The sequence below is a fragment of the Homo sapiens genome, chromosome 3 (assembly GCF_000001405.40).
Source record: "Homo sapiens chromosome 3, GRCh38.p14 Primary Assembly".
Taxonomy (NCBI): domain Eukaryota; kingdom Metazoa; phylum Chordata; class Mammalia; order Primates; family Hominidae; genus Homo; species Homo sapiens.
Genome location: NC_000003.12, coordinates 150,865,584 through 150,884,566, shown reverse-complemented (window position 1 = coordinate 150,884,566; position 18,983 = coordinate 150,865,584). Strand labels below are relative to the sequence as shown.

At 41.0% G+C, this 18,983-nt stretch overlaps 1 protein-coding gene across 1 annotated transcript in view, besides 1 other annotated feature; it reads left to right on the top strand.

Annotated features, from left to right (window-relative positions):
* The window catches only part of MINDY4B (MINDY family member 4B), a 35,064-nt gene extending 20,873 nt beyond the window's left edge, over positions 1-14,191 (top strand). The window contains exons 9-12 of the mRNA NM_001351281.2: positions 795-867; positions 1,509-1,670; positions 11,200-11,380; positions 13,380-14,191. Coding sequence (NP_001338210.2) covers positions 795-867; positions 1,509-1,670; positions 11,200-11,380; positions 13,380-13,522 — 559 coding nt within the window. The 3' untranslated portion in view covers positions 13,523-14,191. The remainder of the gene's footprint in view (positions 1-794; positions 868-1,508; positions 1,671-11,199; positions 11,381-13,379) is intronic.
* Positions 8,742-8,791: a silencer, noted in NCBI's record as "silent region_14820". NCBI's record gives its function as "represses an Ori minimal core promoter by ATAC-STARR-seq in GM12878 lymphoblastoid cells {active_cell/tissue: GM12878}" and the evidence as "EXISTENCE:reporter gene assay evidence [ECO:0000049][PMID:35858748]".
* Positions 14,192-18,983: the final 4,792 nt, after the last annotated feature.

Genomic DNA, 18,983 nt, shown 5'->3' with positions numbered 1-18,983 from the left:
GTTAATGTCCTTTAAGTCATGTACCACGCTAAAGATAAACGTATTAAAATAAATACAACATTATTAAAATTCTAAAATGTTCAAGTCTATCATACCACCCTTTGAGAAGCATTATCCTGAGTTGTATCTGATGCCACGACGGTACTCACCATGCTTGACCCAAGTCTTTAAGTCTCATTCACAGAAGGACATAAGCTCCAGTTCCATGAATAGATTTGTTCAAGAACACATACAGTTCACATACTAGTATGCGGCAATTCCCCCTAAGTGACAGCAGGAGCCACATTCCACCTTGACCTTATATTGTCAAGGGTGAGACCATGGCCCCTGACATAACAGTGGAAGCTGCCCTTCTGCAGCCAAGAAACGGGCTCAGCCAAGAAATGGCCACAACCGTGTTTTCCATTTGGACAATCTGTTGAGATCTGCCTTGAACCAGCACTCTGCAGTGTGGTCATGTGTCACCACCCTGAGCCAAGTGCATTCCTTGTCACATAGAACAAAGAGCTTCTCTACTGAGTCCAGCATCCACCCAGAGCACACACACAGGGATTCGAACATTTGAGACATCTGTACCTTCTCCCCTACCACTTATTACTCACTTTCCCCAATTGCATCCACCTCTGCAACCCCAGATCTAGAGGCTTTCCCTGTGAGAGATGGAAAAGTGCAAGTGAGAAACAGTGACTAGGAGAGCCCGTGTTACTGCTGCTTTGTGTTTTGGGGGAAAAGAAGCTGCAGGCTCCCGGTGCACTGTCTCTGACTGGATGCTGATGGCTTCTCCCACTCTGCAGGCTTCAAATGGACCTAGATGTCACCACCACTCAGCTGCTACAACCAAATGCTGGAGGCTTTCTGTGCAGGCAGGTGAGCTGGAAGACTCTGCCTTTCTATTGTAGAATCTGAATTAGTTGAATGCCACATGCAGAGTTTGAAAAAGAAAAAAAGAAAAGCAATCTGAATTTTGGATTGTTTTCTAATTAAATATATTCTCTCCTTAAGTAAAGAGCAATCCGGTTATCTTTGAAAGAGTATGAAGACACTACCCTGGGTTGCATCAAAATCTACCGTCTAATTTTCATAACAGTCCTCCTTAGTTTACCTCCGAGAGCCTTTCATCTCTGAGATCCTAGCAACAGTAGAAAATATCTTGACAAGACCCACCAGGAATCCCTAATAACTGAAAAAAAGTGCTAAAAAACATCTTAGCTTCATGCTTCTTAAATCACAACCATGGAAAACAACGTTTAAAAGAACTGTAAAAGGAGGACGGGCAGTAAGATCAGAGTGGGGTACAGAGGGAGTTATGGGGTAAGGTTTAAGAAAAAAAGCTAATAAATGATTGTTTTAAATCTACCAAATATTTAGGACATATTTTTCCTGAAATATGTATCATGTGATTTCATTCTTTTCACTAAAAATAATTTTTAATGATTTTTAAGAGAAAAAATTAAGTTATTGTTTCATTGCTATCTAAAATATAAGTATCTGTAAAATATGCTCTCTAGGCAGTTCTGAACATGATTTTAACTGGAAGAGCAAGTCCCAATGTCTTCAATGGCTGTGAGGAAGGAAAGTCTCAGGAAACACTACATGGAGTCCTGACCCGCAGTGATGTTGGCTATTTGCAGTGGGGTAAGGATGCCTCGGAAGATGACAGACTCTCACAGGTGAGTGTGTTCCAGTCCTCAACCACACAACCAGAATGTCAATATTTTAACAGTTTAAAAGTCTGTCTATTTAGGCAATTCAAACCCGAGCCTACTTTCTCCCTTACTGTCTGCCTGTGTACCTCCCTCCTGCCACACACAGACATTCAGGGAAATTTCCACAGATGGAAATATCCCAGTCTACTTGCTTCATATTTTATTTTACATATTTTTATGTATATAAAATAGGTAATAAAAGTAATACATACATTTTTAAAGCAATATTTGAAATATACAGATATCCCTGTTTAATGAGGTTGACAAATATATATATATATATATATATATATATACACACATACACATACACAAAGGAAAAGTCCTCTGTCATCCCCATGCGGCTACATACCCCTTCACAGAAATACTGTTAGCAGTTGATGGGTGTCCTCCCAATCCTTCATTTATGCAAATGAATGCACACAGCCTACATATTGCTCAAAGCTTAAAAAAAACCACTGGAAAAAAAAGGGGGCCCCTACGTTTGAAACTCCTGTCAAAAAGCTTTCCAGCTCAGGGGTTTTATAACTTCTGACAACCAGAAAGTAAAATGTCCTGTTGAAAAGCACAACCAGGGAATTAAGTAAGATGTGATTCTGCGAAAACAAACAGAAGAAGAGTGACAAAGCAAATATACCCATCCCAAACCACAAATCAAAGCTGCTTCTGTGATATTTCACAAAAATTTCATCCTAAAACCCAGGGAAGATGAGGCAGACTCTGTAACAACACTTTTCTGGAATGGCCTTGAAACCAGTTCAGATGTCATTCAATTTGATGGAGGATGTAAACCCCCACAAGCCTCCCAACCACCTCTCCCAAATGCCAACAGCAAACAAGGCCTCGCTGCTCAGCATCTGTCCTGTCCTCCAGCCCTCCTGGTTCCCACTCAAAACGCCTTTCATGTATATAGGGCTTCATCTGTCCCTCTACTATTGTCTCCAGCTACTATGTTATCATGAAACCAGCATCTTGCAACACATACATATGTCTGATGCCATCAAAAAAATAGTGTCTGACTATAGCAGAATTGGCATATTTTGTGTACAAGTGTGCTTTACAAGTTTGCATGTTATTCCTTGAGTTTGTATTCTTTGTTCATCATAGAAAAATGTGAAGTGATAGACAAGGTAAAAGTAAAAAAGTAAAACAAATTTCATTACCCAGGGGTCAATCTTTTCAGGAACATTTTTCAGAAATACTCTTTCTTTCTCATATCAATGTGTCTTTTTTTTTTTTTTTTTTTAAACAGAGACAGGGGTCTCACTGTGTTGCCCAGGCTGGTCTTGAACTCCTGGGTTCAAGCAATTCTCCTGCCTCAGCCTCCCAAAGTGGTGGGATTACAGGTGTGTGAGGCACTGTGCCCAGCCATATCAATATGTCTTATTCTACTCTTCCGAAACCTGCTTTTCTCGTTTAACACAAATATCTCATTTAATATCAAATATGAGTATATAACCCTCTATTTATTTATTTTTGAGACAGAGTTCGCTGTGTCACCCAGGCTGGAGTGCAGTGGTGCCATCTCAGCTCACTGCAACCTCCGCCTCCTGGGTTCAAGCGATTCTCCTGCCTCAGCCTCACGAGTAGCTGGGATTACAGATGTACACCACCATGGCTAGCTAATTTTTGTATTTTTAGTAGAGATAGGATTTTCGCCATTTTGGCCAGGCTGGTCTCAAACTCCTGATCTCAATTTATCCACCCACCTCAGCCTCCCAAAGTGCTGGGATTACAGGCGTGAGCCACTGCCTGGCCTCTCATTATATTTAGAGGCTGCAAAGAGTTCTATTGTGTGGATGTGAAAGACTATACTTTGAATACAGCCTGGACAGAGAATTGTTTATCGTTATAAAGCTCCTAATCACTTTTTCCAGATAATTTGGGAATTCATCTTAAAATTGACTCATATAATGAAGAGTAAAACTAAGCCAGAAATAGAGGATTTATAGATTTCATTTTACATATTTTTCTTTTCTTTCAACCACGTGTGGTCACTTGGTGTCCGTGGTCTAACATTCTATAGCTATAAGAACCCAGTAATATGCCAAGACTTGGTTTGAAAATGGGGTGATATACTGGAAACAAGTTCTAGTGGTGACGACACAAAAATGCAATAATGATTTTAGTATTTTGTCTGTTATTACAAAAGCTCTTTCATAAGATTATTTCACTGGATCCTCGCTATAAACTAGAAAGACTTAAAACAGCGTTTCTCATATTTCAGTCATCTGAGTAGGTAATTCAGAAGCTTTTTCATGTCTCTGTGCTACCACTACTATTATTTGCTTAATGTTTTTCTTTCAAACAACTCACTTAAAATGTGGTTCTAACCTTTTCTGCAGCAGAAATAGATGCCATGGGCTTGATGTGCTGATTTTTTTTCCTAATACATATTTAATTAAACATTTGTTTTTTGTGCCATCCACTTCTTCTCCTACACAAGTCTGCTTGTGTAGAAGTCTCCTTGTACCATCCACTTTCATGCCACATGCCACCAATGGGCGCGTGTGCGCATCCACACACACACACACACACACACACACACACACACAGATGGGAACCTGGCATAAAGGTGAGGAAGTTCCTGTAGCATGTGCAAAATAACCCTGGCCTGGAAATCGGCAGGCTTGGCTGGAGGCCTTACCATGCCACTCACAGGTGTGTGACTTGTACCAGTTTTACCCTCTCTGAGCCTGTTTCCTCACTTACAACACAGGTGCATTCATTCCACATGTGCCTGCCCTGCAACCTGATCAGATTAAGGATTGACGTGAAGAGCAGAGGAAATCATGGATGTTGAAGCTCATTGGAAGGCCAGAATATTCTATAGACATATAAGACTTTATAATAGAAGATAACAAGGCATAATGTTATAGTGCTTTATTCAGCTATGTTCATTCAGCACAGCTAAATGCTAACTGAATACTAATTGGGAGGCTCTGTGTCCAGATCCAAAGATGGGCCATACTTGACCATACATACACTGATTTCTACAGGAAGGATACAGGCAATAAATGCTAGAGAGCAGTGATGTCAACCCTGACTGCACATTGAAGTCACCTGGAGATCTTTTACAACTATCAATGCCCAGGTCATCCCCCAGAACAGAGTTAGCTTTATAAGCATGTGTAGTCAAACAGGACCCCACACTTGGAAGGCCCTATACTTTGTTTAATGCTCTAGTGTCTGGTATCACTGTCTTGAAATTGTTAATGTTTGAACGAGGGCCCCCACATTTTCATTTTGCACTGGGCCCCACAAATTACGTAGCCAACACTACCCAAAGACTGCTTCATTTGGTCTGGGAAGCATCTGGGCAACTGAAGTTTTTAAAGCCCATAGATGATTCTAAAGTGCAACCAGGATTAGAAACCTCTGTTCCAGAGCAGGACTTCTCAACCTCTGCAGCACTGAAATTTTGAAGTGGTTAATTGTTTGCTGTGGAGGGCTGTCCTGTCCACTGCAGGCTATTGAGCAGCATTCCTGGCCTCTGCTCACTAGATGCCAGCAGCACTGGCCCCAGTGTGGCAATAAAAATGTCTCCAGACATTTAAAAATGCTCCCCTGGGGAGCAAAATTGACCCTAGTTGAGAACCTCTGCTTTAGAGGAAGGAGAAAAAAAATCTCTTTAGGCTTAGCTGATTAAATCCATGGTGTGCAGAATTGGCCAACTAGCTATTTCAACTGAACTTACAAGAAAGAGTATATCTTCTTTCAATCAGTATTAGAAAGGTTGACAGCTTTCGGTTCGTTTTTAACAGTTGCAAGGCTTTGGAAACAAGTTGCAGGCTTTATCTTAAGTTAAAATTAAACAGCTGTTTGTGAAATAGCTACTAAGTTGTTGTGAGAAAAGGGACTATATCAAAGAATATGCCACCACAGAAACAGAGTCAAGAATTCACAGGGATCCAGCACTGCTGTTTTTTCTGGATCACATTTCTTTCTACACAAGTCTGCTCAGACCAATAGAACTGCTAAATCATGCTCTAAAGAAAATTACCTGCAAAGCCTAAAATATCCACCAATGATAAAGTGGATTTTTACTGGGACCTTAAAGTCAGTCAAGAGGCCACAGCACAAGGTAAAAAAATAAGAGCTTTCCTGCTGGGAAGAGGGCAAAACATACCAGACCACAGGACCATCACCCAAATGCCTGCTCACAAACTGGAAGTGGGGCAAAGGATGGAAACTGCCCAGGCTAGCTTTAAAATCTACATAGAAATTAGATCTATAATGCTTCCATCTTTTTGAAAAGTGACTAATGTGGCTTTTCATTCTTCTTTCTTGGACTCAGTGTTCTCTCCCCAGAGAGATACCTATGAATTCTGCCCTCAGTGAAAATTGCCTGAAATTGTACACTAATGGCTTGAAACCCTGAGGATGTTTATTATGTTGTCTCTGTCATGCATTTGAAGTTTGGTTTTAAAAAAAGGTATTAAAGAGCAAATACAGGCTGGCAGTTAGTTTTCTTACTTGAACCCCTGGCATGTATGAATATGTTAGAAACATACGTATCAAGGTGATTTTACCTGAAGGTGCTTTTTCATATCAGCTCATTATACAGGAAATATGTATGAAGCATATTTATAGTCAAGTTTATTTATACTTATATGCTTAAGTATATTTATATTCAAGTATATATGAAATTTATTTATTCATTGTGCTAATAACCTTGTGCATATAGCACCTATTGTGTGCCTGGCCCTTTCTGGGTCATTTCATTTATTTATTGAATCCCCACGTCCACTCCAAGTTGTAATCAGTATTACTTTAAGCCCAAGGTCTATTGCTTGGTCATTCATTTTAGAGATAAGAAAGGTATGGGGACTTACCCAAAGCTAGCAGCTAGGCAAGTGTCAGAGCCAGGGATATGAACCGAGTTCTATCTACATTCAATGATCACATTCTGTCCACTGGACCATGCTGCCTGCCATTATCATCTTTGATTATTTTCTGAGAAGGTGATAAATATAGAAATGCCAGTTCTTAGAATTATACTCTATCATCAGTACTTTTATCATCTATTATATCTATATATAGATATATGGTCTATAATATCTGTTATAGGTATACTCGTGTTGGTAACATTTAAATGGTAGCAAATCACAGCATGACAGTTGTGCTCAACAAGCTGAAACTCTATCCACTGACTTCTAGGTTAGAGTGGTGTGAGCTTGTGTTGATGGTGAACTGCCTCCACTTTACCTCCTGGTTTGGCAAATCACACTTGTCGGGTGTATGGAAATCCTTAGCCCTAGGAGACCAAGCTCAGTGGTGCTTAGAGACATGCTAACCAGAAGACCATTTGACTGTATTATCCCCAGAAGTCTAATATTTCACAACATCCTGCATAGAACTGAAACACAGTGCAGAACAGAAGTTTACTCAAGAAAGAACATGATGTGCTTCTGGGACAGTGCTCTAAGTATGACCGGATTGGAGACCCCTGCAGCCACTACCTTTCCTTTCTGATTCTGTATGAGACCCGTGAAAATGCCAACTAGGTATACAAGTGCTTTGTGGATATTTAGTAGCTCCTGCCTATGGTAGGTGCAACAAATCTGAAGGTTATTTTTATGTACTGATGATAAAAACCTAATATAAGAAAGATTTCTTAGTTCAGAAGAAAACCAACGTGCTGCCTGACAGGTAGATTCTGCTGTCAAGGTGAAACCCATCCTGTAATGCTGCCTCCGTCTTCTCTAAGTAAATCTCTTATTACTCTGCGATAAAATTGCAGAGATTGCAAAAACATGTGCCTTTCAGTCCCAATGTCACAGCCCAGTGGGTGAGACTTTAAAAAAAAAAGATGGTATTCTCATTAGATGACATGACAAGCCCCCCAGAGCCCACCAGACTGATGGTTCCTGCAGAACGCAGCCAGCTACCCATAAGATGAGGCACTATTTTGAAGCCTCCCTGTCACTTTTCTATTTGAAGGTACAGATTTGAGTGTGAGGTTCCAATACCTAAGTGAGAACATAAAGCAGTTTGAGTCTAACACCATCTGGAAAGCCTTGGGAGGTTCACATTATCTTCACACCTGCCACTGAGAAGAAAAATCCACTCTGATTTTTCAGGGACTGAAGCCATTTAGGTCTTGCCAGAATTACTCCTACGGCAGCCCTGGCAGCACACATCACTATCCCAGTCATACCTTCTTCCCCCTTTACGTTTTCCCTTTAGAGAGTCTGATAGGAAGAAATCCAACCATAGAAGTACCCAGTGAAGCAGTACCCACTGCACCCTGCCACTAAGTCACTGAGGTAGCGCCCTGCAAACATGAACTAATTTGTCTTTACAACATACCTGCAAACTCAGTGAGAAAAGTTACATCAAGTATGTATTCCAGATGGCAGAGATGAGAGCCAGGCCATTAACAGTTATGCACAGGAATTGTCACCAGGAATCAGTGAAGAAAGCACAACGTTTCAAACACCTTTCTCCTGTTCAGATTACCAGCCTGGGGCCTTGGGACTTGCAATATCATGCTTATTATACAAAGGCATGTTCTAAGCGCCATTGTTCTAGACAGCATAAAAAAAAAGAATTACATGGACTCAATTCTTGCACTCTGATGTGTAGAATTTGTCCATCTTCCTTGCTGTCCTTGTAATTTTACATTGGCTTAAATGATATGTGTTATGAAAAGCCTGATTGCTGCATGTGATGCTGAAAATACTGGGCTGATTACACAATGAGTGAACTTAAGGAGAAAGGTATTTTATTTATAGCACCACTGTATCACAATTTAATTTCCTTTTTACCATGGCAACATGAAGCAACATGCACAAATTCAGCATTGATGGAATCTCACCAATAAAACATATTTAGAATCCTGCTTTTGGGGAGTAGCTGGTAAACTGTTTTTATCCAAAAGCAATACAAATGCTTAAAACAAAAAATGCCAGTCAAACTGCTTATATGGTGTGCCAAGAAGAAAGGGGGATGTAATCTCTGGCTGGATTCAGTTGGAAGGTGCTTTGTTTTGTTTTTTGCAGGACTCACTTTAAACCAGATGTGTTCTCAACTGTAATCTTAAGGCTCGCCTCTTAATACTCAAAGTGCAGCAACAGTCATGCATGACATTTCCCGTTTCATCAGAATCTCTCAGGGCAAGCAAGGTTCTGCTTGCTCACTATGAGAGCTCTGTAAGGCCACTTTTGGAGGGTTGAAGGTGGTTGCATTTTGACTACTTCATTTTCTTCCTACTAGAACAAAATCTTGAGTAGCTTTGAGCTCAGGAAAGAAAACTGTTGTATTGCTGCATAAAGCAACAATAGTGTGTCAGTCAGCACCTGGCAGAGTATGTTTATCTGAGTGCCAAGTGAATTTCACCTACATTACAAATATTCTGTGAAACAATATCATATATGTGTATATTCTATTACACCTACCCAGACTAATTTACAGGGAATATCACTAGATTAAAACTGACCAGAATGTCCATTTGAAGTTCCAATGGAATTACCTTTTACTACAAACAGCTCTCAATCTCCTAGTTTTATTCAAGTTTTTCAACCTTGATAATTCCATGACTTCCTGTATAACATATTTTGATTACATATCATCTTAATACAGAAGGGTGCCATAGCAAGAAGGCCTAAGAAAGAAAGTGCTTATTTTATAACTAATGAATAGTTACAAAGTTACTTGGAAATTGGTGGTGGATATCTGGAACTAAAACATATGCTACTGCTTCAATGGTACATCTTCACTGTTTTATTTCTGATGTAACCAGTGGGCAGACTGGCCCTGTGTTTGATATGTGAAATGCTCACAATATATTCAGCCCAGAGGAGATAACTCCAACAAATCCTGTACCTACTATGCAGATGAGTAAATCCTGCCCCCATTATGAACATGTCCTGATTGGGGTGCTAGGTTTCCACTTTTTGTAAACTACCAGCTGAGGTCATTTCTTTTCAGCATAGCAATATAATTTTTCTGTGGTAGCTAAAAGTGAAACACTTACAGACAAAAGCATCTCTGATTCACCCACTCACCCACAGCTGAAGAATTTAAACTCAAGGAAACAAAAAGATTTGAATAGAGTTATTGAGAAATCAAAATGTCAAGTTATTAGCCTTTAATACTTGGGTTGATAAAGCACGTGATAATTTTTCAAAGCTGGATTTCCACAAAATAGAATTTGTTCCTGAACAAACAGTACAACTCTGAGGACTGAGAAGAAAAGAAATAGAATGGCAACATTGGTCTCTTCAGTTACAGGAAGAAAGGCCAAGCTAAGGGGCCCAGGAATTCTCCTTGGCGTCACATGGAAATCATGGGTTTGTCCATGTAGATATATATGTTTATCTCTTTAAGTTGAAATAAATTTAACAAATTTTTAAAAACAGTTTCAATAAATTTTGATGGAAAGCCTTTAAAAATATGTGCTTCCCTGCCTGTGTAAACAAACTGATGGCTATCACTGATAGAAACGCACTAGAAGTTTGCAGGACCACTGCCCTTTTACTACATCCCCTTCCCTGCTCTTACCCCCAGTGCTGGTTTTTGCAAATCTCATTCACTAGCTATAAGAATTCAAGGCCAGGCCAGGTACAGTAATTCCAATAGTTGGGAGGCCAAGGCAGGTAGATTGCTTGTGTTCAGGAGTTTGAGACCAGCCTGGGCCACATGGCAAGACGCTGTCTCTACAAAAAACACAAAAATTAGTCGGGCATGATGGTGTCCACCTGTAGTCCCAGCTAATCCAGGGGCTGAGGCGGGAGGATCACTTGAGCCCAGGGAGTCAAGGCTGCAGTGAGCCGAGATCACACCACTGCATTATAGCCTGGATGACAGAGCAAGATCCTGTCTTTAAAAAAAAAAAAAAAAAAAAAAAAAAATCAAGGCTAAATTGATTGACAAGTACTTAGAAAAAAACCGATAACAAGCTGCTGTCTAGGAACATCTTCACAAATGATCATGTTAACCTGTAGATATATGTGTATATGTGTGATGTGTGTATGTGTTTCCCTCATTTTCCAGAAGCTATTTTATATATCTTAAATATCATTTTTTCTATATTCTAAATAGTTGATGTTGCCAGAAGTCTTACCACCACCTGCTGAATGAATTATTGCCTTATCTTGGGAATGGGAGCAGATATGCTAGTCAGTGACAAACACAGAATTAGAGTTCTCTTATTCCACCACTACATTCCTATTTTAGTTTATATATTTATTCTTCACTTCGCCTCAAAGCCAAACTGAAGTTGTTTTGCCTCCTCTGTGAGGCCACCAAAAAAATTTTAATATAATCCATTAAGATAAAAATGGCAGCACCACTATACCAGATCATTCATAAATGCAAATTTATTCATGACGAAGCCTTGATTTCAAATCTTGCTCTATGTACAGTGCCCTGCACGCGACAAGTGCAACAAGAAACCTCAGAGCTGCTTTTTGGTCGCGATCATGTATCGGCATGTGTCACAATGTGGCAAAATCTATATATTTATCTGCATTCCCCTTCCCCTTTCCAGGTGGGCAGCATGCTGAAGACTCCCAAATTACCTATTTGGCTGTGCAACATCAATGGAAATTACAGCATCCTTTTTTGCACAAACAGGCAGCTCTTATCAGACTGGAAAATGGAACGTCTCTTTGATCTGTACTTTTACAGTGGCCAACCCTCACAGAAAAAGCTTGTGCGTCTTACAATAGGTGAGCATTTCAGACTCCAGGTGTTGTGGATTTTAATGTGCTCAAAGAGATGCGGTTGCCAATGTTTAACAACTGTGTGGATATTCATGCTAGCTCCACAGGAAAATGCTTAGGCTCAGTTTCTGAAATGAAACCCACACATGAATCCCATGGCCCTAAACCCAAGTATTGCAATGTGGGAATTTGAAATCTGCTTTACCTAGGAGCAGGGGGGTTAGAAATAGCAGAGAAGAACCAATAACTTTCAGGTAAGAGAAAAACAAAAGTTATGGAGCCAAATTTCCAAAAACCATTCTCCGGGGCCTTTGATTTTGGAGCATGAGGTAGCTAATACCTGAGGAAATAATTGGGAAAACCCAGGGAAGAATTGGCTGATGCTATCTCACAACCAAACATCAGATGATCATCCAGTGACATAAGTAACCAAACTGATAGTAAATTTCTGTTCAAATGAGCACAAAACGCATTTTTGAGGGCCTACTCTGTGCCAGGCATGGGGCTAGACACTGGGAAAACTGGTGAATGCGGCACAGGTCTGCCTGGTGGCTCCTCTGTAGTCACACAGACTGGTTTCTTTTATTCCAAAAAGTTCCACAAACATGGTTCAAATCCAACAGGAGAAGCAGACAACCGAACAGATCATTTCGGTCATAAACTCCTGAGGGAAAAAGACCAACCTTAAAATGTCTTTAAACATTGACCCCCGGACGAGGTATTAACACTGGACAAACTGGGAGTTTGTATCCATAGCCTTAGCTGTATTTATGGAGCATTACTGTGTCTGACTTTGCACCACAAGCCTGGCATTAAGTAATCTTCCATTATTACATGTGGAAAAGCATCTAGTGACTATTTTATTTGTGCAGCTCCTAATTCTTTTTCTTTAATTATGAGAAATACATCTTAACCCACTTAATTTAGTATAACATTGACAATATGTTCCTTAAAATATATTGTTGTTTCTACCTCAACTTCCTTCTTTGCATAAAGCAACATTTTTCATTAGCTCACAAGAATCATTTGCTTTCTGTTCTGGGCATTGTGTTGAAAGCCTCACAGGCATTAACCCGTAACATTCCCAATAGTCACATGAGGTAAGTACTAGGATTTCTGTTTTTATGAAGTGGAAACTATGGTGTCCAACAAGTAGTTACTAATTGAATAAATGAAGTTTAGCAATAGATGCTAAGTACCTTCTTAAGTGTCACCTGGCTAATATGAGATAAACTCAAGCCCCAAACCCAGTTCTTGCTTACCCCACTAGAAAGCCTTGCCCTCCATCCAAAAATGCAAATGTATTCTGAGAAGCATGGAGAAGTGGGGTCGGTTGGTTGGTTGGTTGGAGATGGAGTCTCACTCTGTCGCCCAGGCTGGAGTGCAGTGGCGTGATCCTGGCTTACTGCAAATTCCACCTCCCAGGTTCAAGTGATTCTTGTGCTTCAGCCTCCTGCTGGGATTACAGGCGCGCGCCACCACACACAGCTAATTTTCTGTATTTTTAGTAGAGACAGGGTTTCACCATGCTGGCCAGGCTGGTCTCGAACTCCCGACCTCAGATGATCCACCTGCCTCAGCCCCCCAAAGTACTGGGACCATAGGCGTGAGCCACCATGCCTGGCCTCTTTTTTTTTTTTTCCTGACAATATTTAGTAACCTATACCTGGTTCTAGGTGTCACATCATGGTACGGGAAGGTGTATTACATAGCTTATCAACAGTTATGCACAACAACCCAGGTTACCACTGACTCATTCTGTATGGGGCGTTTCAACACACATACTACGTCCTAATATGCACAACAACCCAGGCTACCACTGACTCATTCTGTATGGGGCATTTCAACACACTACCTGCTTGAATCCCCATCTGCTTAACCAGTTGTAGGAGCACAATTTTCCAAGCCTGACTCCTGCCCACCCACCCTTCTGTCCTTCTTTAGTGGTTTCCTCTGGAATGGTGTTCATAGGCTTGGGTCTAAATGCTGGCTATTCCTTCTTCAGATACTCACTCCCATCACTGGGAAAGAGACCAACAGGAAGAGAAACATGGACCAAGACGACGGTTTTCACCAGTGGAGATGGCAATCAGAACCAAGTGGAGCGAGGCCACCATCAACTGGAATGGGACCGTTCCCTTCTTCTAAAGGGAAACTAGGCTGTGCAATGAAGTCTGAAGTGTCAGAACTGCTGGGATGCAAAAGCCTAATGTGGGGGAGACCAATCGTTTCCATATTTCTCATTCACAAGCCCCACCAAAAAATATATATATATACCATTAGCAGTTTTTTCATTTTTTAAGTCTCTGGTAAATCCCTAGCTGTCAGCATTGTAGGAGAAACACAGGCCCCCACACCAGGGCCTGCATGGTGCCTCCTCCGTAGTCACATAGACTGGTTTCTTTCTTTTATTCAAAAGAGAAAATGAAGCCTCTCTCTTGCATGTTTTTCCAAAGTTGTCTTTTCTTGGTATAACTCTCCATGAGGATTACGGAAGCAGGCTGCTAGCTTTCATTTGGGGATGAAGTCATTGGTAATGCATCATCGGATTTTTAGTTATGGCAAGAACTCAAGCCTTCTCAAGGACTTCCTGGTATGGACGGCATTCCTTTCCAAGGATACAGTTCATATGCCCACATTAGCAAGTTCTTGTCATTAAAATAGTAAATGGGCTTCTTGGGGTTTGAAGCAGGGGTTATTCCTGGTAGGCTGACAGCTATAGCAGTTGACATGTGGGTTTCAGTAGCCACAAGGAGACATTCTTTTTATTAGCAGTATGTTTGTTTCTTTTCTTCAATGCTGGATATAAATACACAAACAGACAAACTGAGAAAAATTCTGATTTCTACATAAAATTATATATAAAAATAAAATCTCTTGTGTCATTATTCAAAGGGGAAAACAATTCTTTTTAGAATATACTCTTTCCCTGTCCTGTTAAATGCCTATGTTCTTTCTGAAGAGATACACAGAGTAAACACATATTCCTTCTAAAAGAAGTACACGAGAATAATGTAGACACCGCCAGCCACCCCGCTAATCTGCCACCTCACAGACTTAGGGCACTGTATTCACAATCCCAAGGTTAGTTTCCAAAGAACAATCTTTCTGCATTCATTCAAATTCATTTATTAAATGCATTTGCATTTGGCTCAAAGAATAATGTTTTAACTTAAGGACCATGTAGGAAATGAAACTTCAAGGTGAATAATAAATTATGTCAGAAGAGAAAGGCAATTAGGCTTGAATTGCGGATTATAGTATCTTTATCATTGGTGTTTTCACTGGGGATTTTAAATACACTGGACAAATAAGTGGATCCCTACAGACTTTGGGCTTATGTGGTCTTAATCTTACTTACATTGTGCTTTTCCTGAGGTGCGGGCCTGTTTTTTGTTTTATGGACACTACATTGTTTCTTACTGAATGTCTCTTTTGGAGTTGACTGCTTAGAGCTGAATTAAAAAACACACCAGTGCATTAGTAAGGAACTGCTCAGCTGCAAGTAAGAGATCTCACGAAAAGTCGCAAACAATAAAGATATTCCTTTTAACAAGAGCTGTCTAGCTAGGGGATCCATGACTCAGATCATCATGGTTCATCCTCTGAGTCTGAGAACAGGGCACTTGATATTAGAACAAAATCAGGGTTTTGTAGAAGGAAGAAAAGCAGGATGACTGTCGGGTAGTGTATCGGTCCTTACAAAAGCCAACTTTTAAATTGACCTCATTCTTGTATCCATTTTATGTTCCTTCCCTTATTCCTCCTTTGAATTTTTAATTTGTTTATAATTTATGTTAGTTTGCCATATTTTATATGGTATTGTAATTTGGGTTAAATTATTCCTGGAACAAGTCTATAAATAAGTAAAATAATGGAGGAAAGATTAAGTACCTACGTTTTAGATGTAAAAGTATAATTTTGATATATAAAACTATTAATTACTTTGTATATCAATGTTCAGTGAAAATAAGTTATTTTATCTTATAAACAGGGTACCCGGTAATACTTGATTTTTTTCTTCAGAGTGGAGACATGTTATTTAAAAATAACTGGAAGTGGCTGGGCGCGGTGGCTCACGCCTGTAATCCCAGCACTTTGGAAGGCCGAGGTGGGCGGATCACGAGGTCAGGAGATCGAGACCATCCTGGCTAACACGGTGAAACCCCATCTCTACTAAAAATACAAAAAATTAGCCAGGCGAGGTGGCGGGCACCTGTAGTCCCAGTTACTCAAAAGGCTGAGGCAGGAGAATGGCGTGAACCCAGGAGGCGGAGCCTGCAGTGAGCCGAGATCACGCCACTGCACTCCAACCTGGGCGACAGCGAGACTCCGTCTCAAAAAAAATAAAATAAAATAAAATAAAAAAATAAAAATAACTGGAAGTTTCTCAGAGCCATTAGTTCACTTTTAAACTTTGTTTTGAGAAAAATGACTTTTTTTTCAGCTTCTCAAATACAAAGCAGAAGAAAGCTGTTTGCTTGAAGACGGGGATATTAATTTTTCTGACTAGTCATCTAAACTGACTGTGTCTTTAGTGGGAATGAACCCTTGAGGCGATGGCAACTATTTTCCTCTTTCAAATATCAACTTAGACTGGAACATTCCCCCGAATTATTGTTTGCTCTTAGACAAGATGTGTGAATCATTTTTCCAAGAACATTCTCACCAATGTCACAAGACCCGTAGGAGCAGGCCAGGTTGGGGGAGGCCTAAGATTCCCTTCACTTCACACTGTGGAAATAACCCTGAATAGCAACTGGCTGAGACTGGACCTGAGCTGTCCAGGCTGTGGGCACTCTTCAGCCACACCTGGGCCTGCATTTTCTGTTAATGGTTGTAATTCCCTTGTCAGGGCCTTAGAGACATAATCATTCATTCATTCATTCATTCAATGTTTTTTATTTTATTTTTATTTTTATTTTTGAGATGGAGTCTCACTCTGTCGCCCAGGCTGGAGTGCACTGGTGTGACCTTGGCTCACTGTAACCTCCACCTCCCGGGTTCAAGCGATTCTTGTGCCTCAGCCTCCCAAGTAGCTGGGACTACAGGTGCACACAACCACTCTGGCTAATTTGTTTGTATTTTTTGGTAGAAATTGGGTTTCACCATGTTGGCCAGGCTGGTCTTTAACTCATGACCTCAAGTGATCTGCCCGCTTGGCCTCCCGAAGTGCTGGGATTCAGGCATGAGCTACCATGCCTGGCCATTCAATGTTTTTTAACATGCCCTATGTGCCAGGCACTATGCTTGATGCTGGGGAAAATCAGCACAGCGAGCAAAATCAGATGTGGCACACCCTCTTTTCTTATGAAACTTAGGCTCTTCTGAGGAGATGGCAATTAATCAAAAAGCACTTTAATAAAGATAAACTTGAAAACTAAGGGAAGAGATTTTGGGTGCGTCAATCTTATAATAAAGAACTGAAAGAAAAGGAAAAGGCATGTCTGAGGAAGAGATGGTTAGCTGAAGTAAGAAGGCTGCATAGAGATAACAGGGTAAGGGGAAGAAGGGCAAGCAGATGTGAAGCCCTGTGGTGAATGCGCCTGAGGAACAGAAAAGCCTGTGGGGCTAAAGAGTGGTTGTGAAGCAGCTGGAGCAAAAGGTGGGGCCACCGCAAGGCAGTGTAGACTATAAGGTGTGAGAAACCTTGGAAAGGTTTTAAGTGGCCTGGTAAGATTTGCATTTTGAACACATGCCTCAGAGTAGAACATGGATTGGAGAGAGCCCCAAGTGCATGCAGAGACCAGTTAGGCATGCGGAGACTAGTTAGTTAGGCAGTGGTGTGGACAAGAGATGGTCAGAACAGAATGGAGGCAATTAAAGTAGACTGAAGTGGGCCTCTCAGGAGACACCTCTTGGTAGGTAAAATGGAGAAGGCTGAAATAGGTTGCATGGGGAGGGAGATGAGGAAGAAAGAAAGAAGGATCAAGGATGACTTCTAGGTTTCTGATTTGATAACTGGATGGAAGGTTGTACCTTCACAGAACTTGGAAACACTCAAAACATACCAGATTTTGAGGGCAAGAAATCACACATCTAGTCTTAGACATGAAACATTCAAGTGGAAAGGTAGATTAATGGATCAGAAATAAGGATCTGGAAATCAATGGAGAGGTTTGGACCAGAGAAATAAATACACCTGGGAGTCACTAAGGGTAAGTAACATGGTGGCCTGGGGTAAGACTGCCCAAGGAGAGTATGAAGCAAGAAGATAGCTGGGCCTAATGCTGAGCCCTTAGGAATTCTCGTGTCAGCAGTCAGGCAGTGTGCGAAGAGCCTGGAAAGCAGGCGCAGAAGAAATAGCCAGAGACAGAGGAGAAAAATGAGAATTGAACTGTGTCTAGAAACCATGCCCTGTAGGTAAGGGCAGGCATTTCTTCCATCAATCATCGTGGGAACAGGAAGGAGGACGCCTAAGGAGAGGGAAGAAAGGCTCTCCCCACCCTAATGCTGCTGCCAGAGCTGGGAGCCTTGCACAGGGCCTGGACCAACATTTAGGGAACACAGCCAAGTGACAGAGAACGGCAAGTTGTCAGAAGTCCAAGGGGCTTCTTAAAGCAGAGACACGATCAGGAGAAGTAACATTTTAGGTTTTCCTGCATTGTAATTCCTTTGTGTTTAAATTAAGATGTTAAACATTCTAGCCTGATATTCCCTGTGCTTTGTTTGGGAAATTAAGAGAGGGATCTGCTTCACATGTAGAGACACTTTCTAACACCTGGAGAAGCCAGTCTTGTGAAGGAAAGAGGTCTCCTGAGAAGCCCAGAGCAATAGAACAGGATAGAATGATGAGCTAAGGTGTGAGGAAAATGACGCCAGCAAAAAAGCGCAACAGAGAAAACCAAATCAGATTCAAGATGGCGGCAAGAAAAGCCCAGTCTCAAAAAAAAAAAAAAAAGGGAAAAAGAAGGGCTGGGCGCAGTGGCTCACACCTGTAATCCCAGCACTTTGGGAGGCTGAGGCGGGTGGATCATGAGGTCAGGAGTTCCAGACCAGCCTGGCCAAGATGGTGAAACCCCGTATCTGCTAAAAATACAAAAATTAGCCAGGCGTGGTGGTGGGCACCTGTAATCCCAGCTACTCGGGAGGCTGAGGCAGAGAATTGCTTGAACCCGGGAGGCGGAGGTTGCAGTGAGCCCAGAACGCACCACTGCACTCCAGCCTGGGCGACAGAGTGAGACTCCGTCTCGGAAAAAAAAAAAAAAAGAAAAAAGAAAAGCCCAGTCTCAGAGGATGCAATTCTAGGTGAGTTCGGAACTTAAGTGAGGAATTAAGATAAATCCATTTCCATCAGGCTTGATATTTATACAAAAATGCTTCCCGTAATCTGATGAAGATAAGTGGTAAATGCACTGAAAAAAACATATTTCGGCAAAAAAACAAAAAGTATTATTATGGGTTGTCAGGGGCTATCTGAATAAATGATACTTTTAGTCAATGACTATGTTAAAATCAACCAGAGAGGATCTAGTCTGAATGAATTTAACCTGTTATTTTCAGAATAGCCAGTTTAACTTTAACTCTTCCGAATGTATTCCTATCCCCTCTCCTTCCAAGAAGGACTTGGGGTGGCTGATAACTGGTAAACTTTCTGGAGAACTTGTAT